Here is a 9,120-nt window from a genome sequence, read left to right on the forward strand (position 1 = left end):
TGTATGTTATGTATATTTTATCTCCAAAGAACTAAAAAAAGAGATGAAATGAAACTTCTGCTCTAAGGAAAAGCAAAATGTATTAAGCATTTCCTGTATGATGTTGAGCACCCTCCAAGGGCTGGGGAGGTAATGCAAAGGAGACCGATGAATCTGGGGTTTTGTGGAGCTTCCATTCCAGTAGGAGAGGCTGGCAATAAACAAGTAAACTAACAGGACCATTGCAGGTTAGTGATCATTGCTAGAATGGTAATAAATAGGTGCTATGATGGAAAATAATTGGGGTTTCTGGTGTGTGTTAGGCAACATTTTAGATAGGGTAATTAACTTCATTGAGGAGTCACATTTGAACGAAGCCTTGACAGATGAGAAGCAACCACCATGATTATGTGAAGGCACAGGGAAAGGCTTTCCAGGCAGAGAGAGTAAGAACGGCAAAGTCCCTGTGGCAGGAAAGAACTGGGGACACTTGAGGCCATTGTGATTGGAGCTCAGAGGCTTGGGTTGGAGAAAGTCAGAAGCCAGATCCTGTGGGGCCTGGTGGGCCATAGTGAAGGGTCTGGATATTATTCTAATTGAGATGAGAAGTCACTGAAAGGCATGATCTGATTTACATTTTTGGCAGGTCTCTCTGGACACTGCAGAAATTGGATTATAAGGAGCAAAATGGAGGCAGCAAGACCTGTTGGGAGGCCATTGGTGTGGCCCCAGAGAGAGCTGATGGTGGCTGGGAATTGGGGGTGGTTTAGAGAGAGGTGAACAGATTCCACCCAGGTTCTCAAGACACAAACAACAGGGCCTGCCAATGGGTTGGATGTGCAGGCTGCAGAAAAGGGAAGAATCAAGGCTGTCTCCTGGGGGTGGGGCTTGGGCAACGGGACAGGGGATAGGGGTATGGTGAGGCCTCATGGAGAGGAAGAGGTTCAGAGCAAAATCAAGAGTTCTGTTCTGGAGTCTCGAAACAGTGCACTCTTTTCCTCTTTCCACTCCACTCCATCCTCTTCCTAAAGTTAATAAAATCAGAACGTTAAACCTGGAGTTATTACGGCTCTGTAGGCAAATCTAAGTGGTGGGCGATACAACGTGGTACTAAGAAACATGCGAGAGTCTCATGGACAGCACAAGCTCCAAGGGAGCATTTTCTCATCACCTCAATAGTGTTTAGAAAAGAGAGGTGCTACCATTTGACCACTGGGGTTGGTACATTAGCACAGTGTCTTGGATAGGGCTTTCCCAGGAGCAGATCCTGAGACGAGGGTGTGCGCGCAAGGAGTGTGATTGGGAGGTGACCTCAGAAGGCACTGGCAGGAGAATGGGTGCATGAGGGAGGGAAGGGATGAACCTAGTCAGGATTTGCTAACAAGCAGGTTATACTGTGGACAGCTGGGTGTGGTCCTGCTGGGACATCTGGGAGAAAGCATAGATTGTGCACTGAATTGTCTCCCCTGGGACAAACACTGGGCTATTTATCTTCCAGGTCCTGCTCGTCATTGACTGAAGTGTGGACCTGGGGGCATCAACTCTCCAGCATCTGTTGACCCCTCGTGCTGGGCCTCGGAGAAAGGCAGCAGGTGGAGCATCGCAGGTTTTTCGGGAGAAACCTGCCGGTGAGTGCCAAGGGGACGTGGAGGGGGCCTTGATGGTTTCTGTTATTGCTATACCAGTATCATGCTTTTACTTCTGCTAATTCTTTACAGCAAGTCTCAAAGCTATTAGATGGTACTGTTCAAATTGTAGTCAATAGATCTGTGTCAACAACTGTTTGTTACCATTTGAAATAAAGAATTTGTAAATCACTCCCTTGCTTGCTATAAAAAATTAGCTGGTCTAGACGGTGTGCCTAGTGATGAAAATGAATTTACATTCTAGTGAAAGCTCCTTATCATATTGCATACTGGGAACAAACACCTCACAGACTGGCACATTCTGCAGCACTGTGCTCAACTGTGAGATCCCTGAGGACAGGTCCCATGCACATTCATCTCTGCTTCCTCAGGGCCTGGCACAGTGTCTAATACGGAGGAGGCACTTGGTGGGTCTGTATTGTCCCATTGTACAGATGAGGAAACGGAACACGGAGGCAGTTCTATAGTCAGGATGTTTGTCCCCTCCAAGTCTCATGTTGAAATTTGATCCCCCATGTTGGAGGTGGGTCCTAAGGTGGGGTGTTGTTTGGGTTGTGGGGTGGATCCCTCATGAATAGATTGATGCCCTCCCTGTTGGGGGAGGTGGGGGAAGTAGTTCTCAGTCCGTTAGTTCCCTTGAGAGCTGGTTGTTAAGAAGAGCCTGGCACCTCCCCGCACCTCTCTTGCTCCCTCTCTTGCCATGTGATCTCTGCACACACAGGTCCCCTTCCACCATGAGTAGAAGCAGCCTGAGGCTTTCACCAGATGCAGAACCATGAACCATGTAATCCTCTTTTCTTTATACGTACCCCAGCTCAGTTTATGTATAGCAACACAAAATGGACTAAGACAGGCGGCCTCTCATCTCTGGGGCTTGGTGCCTCCAAACCTCAGTGCTGCTTCCTGCTGTGACAGATCCATTTGGTATGAACTCTCTCCTAGGAGAGTGACACAAATCGGATTCAAGTTAAGTGTCATTCCCTCTCCCACTCTAAGAGTTGTGTCTTAGGCAGTGTCTATTTCTAGGGACAACTCAACAGCCAAAGATCTTTACCATCTCTGCTTCTGCCTGACCAGGTTTCATCCTGTTCCTAGGTGGACACCATTGAACACTCTCTTGATGAGACTGATGCTGATTCTATGATTCCACCATGAAATGGGAAATCCCAGGTACTGAGGCATTGCCTTTTGGTGGTTATTCTTTTCAACCACACAAGGCTGGCAAAGGACTCAGAAACTCCTGAGAGTTCCCAAAGAAGCAAAACTTTAATAATTGTCACAGTAACTCATGGACAGATGAACGAGAGAAAAGTCACAGAAGTGGTGATGGGAGAAAGAAGGAGGGGATAAGGGCAGAAAGAAGAGAAGCAGAAAGATGGAAACACTGTTCACTGGTAAGTCATCTGTTGGGACCTTTATGGTTCAGTATCTAGGACTGTTATTTTCCTAAAGTTGAGACAGCTGACTGAGATTCAGTATTTTCACAATTTCTAGCCAGGGGTGATAATCTGACTCTGCCATGGGCCAAATTCCACCACTACAGACTTTTGTTTGGCCAGCAAGGCATTTAAAAAATATTTGCATTTCCAATGGCTAGGCTAGGTTAGGTTACACTGCAGTAACAAGTAACTCCAATGCCTTAGGAGCAACACAACTAGAATTTATTTCTTGTTCATGTCACATGTCCGAGGATGTATTCTTCTCACAGCATCCACTCACGGACTCAGGCTCTTGGCAGCTTTCTCTTGACATGGGCTTGCAGGGCCACTGACACAGTGAAGGGAAGGAGGCAGAGTGAATGGCTCACTGGTTCTTGAATCTTTGTCCTGGAAGGCCACGTGCCCCTTCTGTTTAGACTTCATTGTCGGGGCAAGTTGCATGACTCTCCTGACTTCGAAGGAAGAGGGGAAGGTAAACCCTAGCAGATGCCTGGAGAGCTGATCAGCTCTAATGGGGCACAGCACTGATGACAATCACAGCTGTGCCCTCTGCAGCTGGCATGATCCCACCCCTCCCTATTGTCTTGCATTTTATGTTACCTGTCAGTTCCAAAAGGCACTCTAGTTTGCTAAGCCCTGAGCAGGAGAACTTGAAGCATTCCATGCCCAGCTCTCTGGCACTCACCATTTAATAACTCAATCTCACTCCTCAGGCATAATCACTAGCCTGTTGTTCCTTTTAACTTGCCCACTCTACCAACTGTTCATGTTGGGTTGTTAGCTATTTACTGCACCTGCACCTGGGTCCTTCCATCAGCATCAGCATCAGCATCAGCATCACCTGAACTTCCTTATTCCCTCTTTTTTTTTTTTTTTGTTTTTTTATGGAGTCTTGCTCTGTCGCCAGGCTAGAGTGCAGTGGCTCGATCTTGGCTCACTGGAACCTCTGCCTCTCAGGTTCAAGTGATTCTCCTGCCCCAGCCTCCCGAGTAGCTGGGACTACAGGTGCATGCCACCACGCCCAGCTAATTTTTGTATTTTTAGTACAGACAGGGTTTCACCATGTTGGCCAGGACGGTCTCGATCTCTCGACCTCATGATCCACCTGCCTTAGCCTCCCAAAGTGCTGGGATTAGAGGCTTGAGCCACCGCATCCAGACCCTTATTCCCTTTTTATCTGGACTACTGTCTGTTGCCAATCAGTGTCCTCTTCAGTCACCATGGTCTCTCAGTATAGGAGGGCTTTTGGAGGGCACCTTCCACTGCTTCCTTCCCCTGGCCTAACCCCAGCCTCCATTCCTCACAACTCCACCATGGGCAGGTCTAGAACCAGCCCCTCTCCCCTCCCAGTCCATCTGTCCAATTAGACAGGACCATGAACATCCCTCCTGAGATGTTCGCATTCCAGACTACACTAAAGCTATAGCCACATAAACGATACAGCCATCCACTGTTTCCATACGCTTAGCCCCCCAGGAGGTATATCTAAGGTTGACATAACACCTGCATCCAGGCCAGGTGCGGTGGCTCATGCCTGTAATCTCAGCACTTTGGGAGGTGAGGCGGGCGGATCATGAGGTCAAGAGATCGAGACCATCCTGGCCAACATGGCGAAACCCTGTCTCTACTAAAAACACAAAAATTAGCTGGGCATGATGGCGTGCGCCTGTAGTCCCAGCTACTCGGGAGGCTGAGGCAGGAGAATCGCTTGAACCTGGGAGGCGGAGGTTGCAGTGAGTCAAGATTGTGCCACTGCACTCCAGCCTGGTGACAGAGCGAGACTCTGTGTCAAAAAACAAACAAAGAAACAAACAAAACCCATAAAACACCTGCCTCCGTTCTGCCCCAGTAAGTGTAGAGATATTATCTGTTCCTACTTGAGGTGCTGACCTGAGCACCACCCACAGCGGGTGAAGGGTGGAAGTGAGGGGCATTTCCAGAATAAGAGGGTGTTGGGACCCAGATGAGCTGGTGAACCATTTGCTAATGACAACACAGCAGGGCGTGCTGGGATGTGAACCTGAAAACTGTCAAGGGGAGCCAAAGTCAAGGCCAGGAAGACAGTGCTAAGTGCAAGGGGCAAGGAGAGGATGGGAACCCAGGGCGCAACCCGGGAGGGCCTATGCCAGGAGGCTCAAGAGTAGAATGAGAGGGAGGGTGTGGGTGGACAGGGCAAGGTTCAGACCCAGGCTGTGAACAGCCCAAGCACCCTGGGCCACCTCACTTGCCTCCCTGGCCCTCCACACCTTGCAAGCACTTCTAATCCAGTGTCGAGAAAAGCTGACTGAAGAAACAGAGGCAAACAATAGCTGAAAATCTGTGGGCCTGTTGCTGTGGTGGGTCGGCGACGTCTGAGCAAGTGCAGTGAACCAAAGGGCGGGACCAAGAACCACGCCCCTGAGGGAGTTTGGCTGGAGGGGAGGGGTTTGGAATGGGCTCCGGGCTCTGCAGAGGAAGAGAACACATGTGGAGTCTCAGGTCCCCCTTGGCCTGGCCCTGCCCAGGCAAAGCACAAGGTACTCTTTAGGGACACAAGGGCACTGGCAGGGCTGGTTTGATGCCTGATGTGAGCCTAGGTGAGGGGGAGGGGAGGAGGAAGAGAAGGAGGAAGAGGGGGAGAACTCTGCTCCCCGCTGGCAGATCCCAGGGGGGCTCCATGAGGATGCCCCAGAGCAGCACGCTCTGTGGCCCTTTGGACCGACCGGCAGCTGGGGAGCGCTGTGGGACAGCTCCCTGAGTGACATTTCCCCATGGGTGCCTGTGAGAATGGCTTCCCAGGGAGCAGGCCTCCGCAGACCTCATCTGGGTCCCAACACCCTCTTATTCTGGAAATGCCCCTCACTTCCACCCTTCACCCGCTGTGGGTGGTGCTCAGGTCAGCACCTCAAGTAGGAACAGATAATATTCCTACACTTACTGGGGCATGGTATGGAGTATGGAGGGGTCGCCTCCGGAGCTCCCCAGGCTGTTGGAGGTATTGCACAGGGGTGCTGCTATGATGCTGTGGTGAGTGGGGGAGCAGCTCTTTGCAGTGGGGCTATGTCCTACTGGCTGAGGAAACCTCAGGTAACGTGAATGCCTCACCTGGAGCCTGCAGTTTCCCTAAGGAGGTGTGGAGCCTTCACAGGCAAACCTCGGCCTCTCAAGGGTCTTTGTGCATCCTTTGTGGTCTTAGGGTTGGAGGGTGGGGGGAGACTTCTGTCTAAAAGGTTGTACTGCATCCAACATCAGGGCAGCACACCTGGTTCTCTGCATGCCGGGAACGCCCCAGGGCTCTGGCTTGTGCTCCCAAGCTCCCTGCATGGTCCCATCCACCAGGCAGTGGGCCGTGCACCACATGCACTTGGGTTTAGAGGAGGGGTGGGTGAGGGCTCTTCTGTTCTATCCCCGTGTGCAGTCAATTTTCCTTCTCTCGGTTCCCTTCAGCCACATTTTTCCTTTTGTCTTCTTACCATGAAGATGGGAAGATCACAGAAGCTCTGTGTGCTGTCCGAAGGCGATGTCTTTTAGCAGTGTGCCCAGTGGAACCTCGCAGAATTCTCAGCATTATCCCTTTTCCCCCATCTCTTGGAACCAGAGCAGAGTGAAGAAGTCCTGTCTCCCATGTTCTGCCCACCCGTGGAAGGCCCCAGGGATGCCTGCCGCCCACCGTATGCAACACCTTGAGCTTCACTGACCCACCTAGTTCCTACTGTCTTCAGTGAAGCTTGAGACAGGTCCTAGAATTCCCCCTAACTTTTTTTTTTTTTTCGGAGTCTTGCTCTGTCACCCTGGCTGAAGTGCAGTGGTGTAATCTCAGCTCACTGTAACCTCCACCTCCCAGTTTCAAGCGATTCTCCTGCCTCAGCCTCCTGAGTAGCTGGGACTACAGGTGTGCACCATCACACTCACCTAATTTTTGTATTTTTAGTAGAGACGGGTTTTCACCATGTTGGCCAGGCTGGTCTCGAACTTCTGACCTCCAGTGATTTGCCTGCCTTGGCCTCCCAAAGTGCTGGGATTACAGGCATGCGCCACCGCGCCTGGCCTTAGAATTCATTTTATTTGCATCTCTTTGAGTGTATTTGCCGTCTTTAGGGCTTCAGCAGGTAAAACTCCAGTCAGCAGCCCCCTTGCTTTTATAAAATAAAAGGTGCAACACGCCTGCTGAAACAAGGTTATTTTGCATGCACAGTTATTTTTGTTCTTGTTGTTTCTTTTTGGCTTACATTTTTAGCTACATTTCCAGAACCCTGAGAGAAAGTGGCAAGAAACTCTCTGGTGACCGCCATACTCATTTTGCCTGAGAGATGCTATAGAGAAACTCCCTCATCTCTGTAGGTACGGTCTTGTCATGTTCTGATGATGCGCGTTTTCGAGGTGAGATGCTGCTAAGCTCGTACAGAACAGAAAGAGGTTGACTCAGAAGCGATTTACGACAGGACTGGAAGGAAGCCTGCCGAGGCAGTTGCCGAGGGCCTGTGAAGAAGTGCTGAATACGGAAATCTTATCATTGTTTAAAAATGAGCAAACTCAGAAACTCCGGCTTCATAGAGCTCGGCCTCAAACAGCAGTGGGAGGCAGCTGGGAGAGGCCCGCCTGTGATCATAACACCCAGAAGGGGCTCGGTCACTCTCTGAGATCCCAGCCATGGAATACAGCAGATTACAGGCCCAGCTCTGGCTGTAGCCTGGAAGGCTGGCACTCTGGATGCCAGCACAGGGCCAGAGGGTCTGGCAGCAGAGGCCAAGTAAGGGAACGAAAACAAAGGGGCAAGGAATGAGGATGAAGGCTGTGTTTGCCTAGACAGTGCCTGACACATTGCAGACGTGCAGTAATGTCTGTGGAATGGAGGCACAAATGGATGAACACCTCCTCCACCATCCAAGTACATGCCACCATTCTATGTACTTGGGATACATCCAGAACAAACCAAATAGTCCAACATTTCTGCCCCTGTGGAACTTCTATTCTAGAGGCAGGGGAGACGGATGGCAAATATAACAGACGCACATGCGATGTAGTGTCCTAGAAGGAGACAAGTGTTCTGAAAACAATCAAGAAGGCTAAGGGGGCTTGGACATGCTGGGGGCTGGTGGGTGTTGCAAGTCTTAGTGGGGTGGTCAGGGCAGGCAGTGCCTCACATGCCAGAGCTGAGTGAGGCCTTGCAAACGGGTGAGAGAGTCAGTTGTGTGGATAAGAGTATCAGGCAAGAGGAGGTAAGAGGAGAAAGCCTGTGCAAAAGCAGGAGTGATCGAGAGGGAGAATGATAGAAGACACAGTCTGAGAGACAAGAAGGAAATCAGTCAAAATCCTGGCAGGAAGCAGATGGCCTGCTCACATTGGAGGACTGGGGGGACTTTACTTAAAGGACCATTGCAAAGAGTAGGCAGATATAGAGACACCCCAAGGAATAGCACAGCACCCCCCACCCCAGATGCCATGGCCACCCCTGGAATTAAAGGGGCAAGAAAAGAGAAGCTACAGGAACCTAGGGAGAGAGGAGAGGGCTGCTTCCTGGTTGATTGACAACTGCTGGCCCTTGGGGACCCCTGCAGGGAGAAAGCTGGGGGGAATAAGTACCCCAACTCCACTGTCCTCTCACCCAATCTGTTGCCCAGGTTCTGTTATTGTTGGAGCCCAGTGCAAAGCTAGAGAACCCATTGCAGGTTGGCCTCCTAAGCCAGAGACCTGCAGAGAGCAGAGTGGAGAAGGGTGGGGGGTGGACATGGAGAGGCTAACCAGAGGCACCCAGACGGTGTAGGGCGCTGGGGCCAGCGAAGGACTTTGGCTTCCCCTCTGAGTGAGACACAAGCCCCTGGGGGTGCTGGACAGAGTGACAGGATCTGACATCATAAATAAGCACCAGCTGCCAATCATTAGTGACCAGGAGCTGAAGAAGGGAGGTGGGTGGAGAAGGAGGCGCAGGGAATCAGAGCGGGTGGTTTGCGCAGGCTAGGTGGGGAGGGAGAGGTGCACAGTGCCCAGCACCTCCAGCCCGAAGCAGCTTGGATCTACCAGGGCTGTTCTCCTCCTCCCCACTGAGAGGAGTGCTCTGGATCTAAGAGTTTACTCTC

At 51.0% G+C, this 9,120-nt stretch overlaps 2 annotated features.

Annotated features, from left to right (window-relative positions):
* Window positions 4,986–5,592: an enhancer, noted in NCBI's record as "H3K4me1 hESC enhancer chr14:92673090-92673696 (GRCh37/hg19 assembly coordinates)". NCBI's record gives its function as "activates a minimal SCP1, AML or CMV promoter by ChIP-STARR-seq in naive H9 embryonic stem cells {active_cell/tissue: H9 hESC(naive)}" and the evidence as "EXISTENCE:reporter gene assay evidence [ECO:0000049][PMID:30033119]".
* Window positions 5,593–6,199: an enhancer, noted in NCBI's record as "H3K4me1 hESC enhancer chr14:92673697-92674303 (GRCh37/hg19 assembly coordinates)". NCBI's record gives its function as "activates a minimal SCP1, AML or CMV promoter by ChIP-STARR-seq in primed H9 embryonic stem cells {active_cell/tissue: H9 hESC(primed)}" and the evidence as "EXISTENCE:reporter gene assay evidence [ECO:0000049][PMID:30033119]".

The sequence above is a fragment of the Homo sapiens genome, chromosome 14, assembly GCF_000001405.40.
Source record: "Homo sapiens chromosome 14, GRCh38.p14 Primary Assembly".
Classification (NCBI taxonomy): Eukaryota; Metazoa; Chordata; class Mammalia; order Primates; family Hominidae; genus Homo; species Homo sapiens.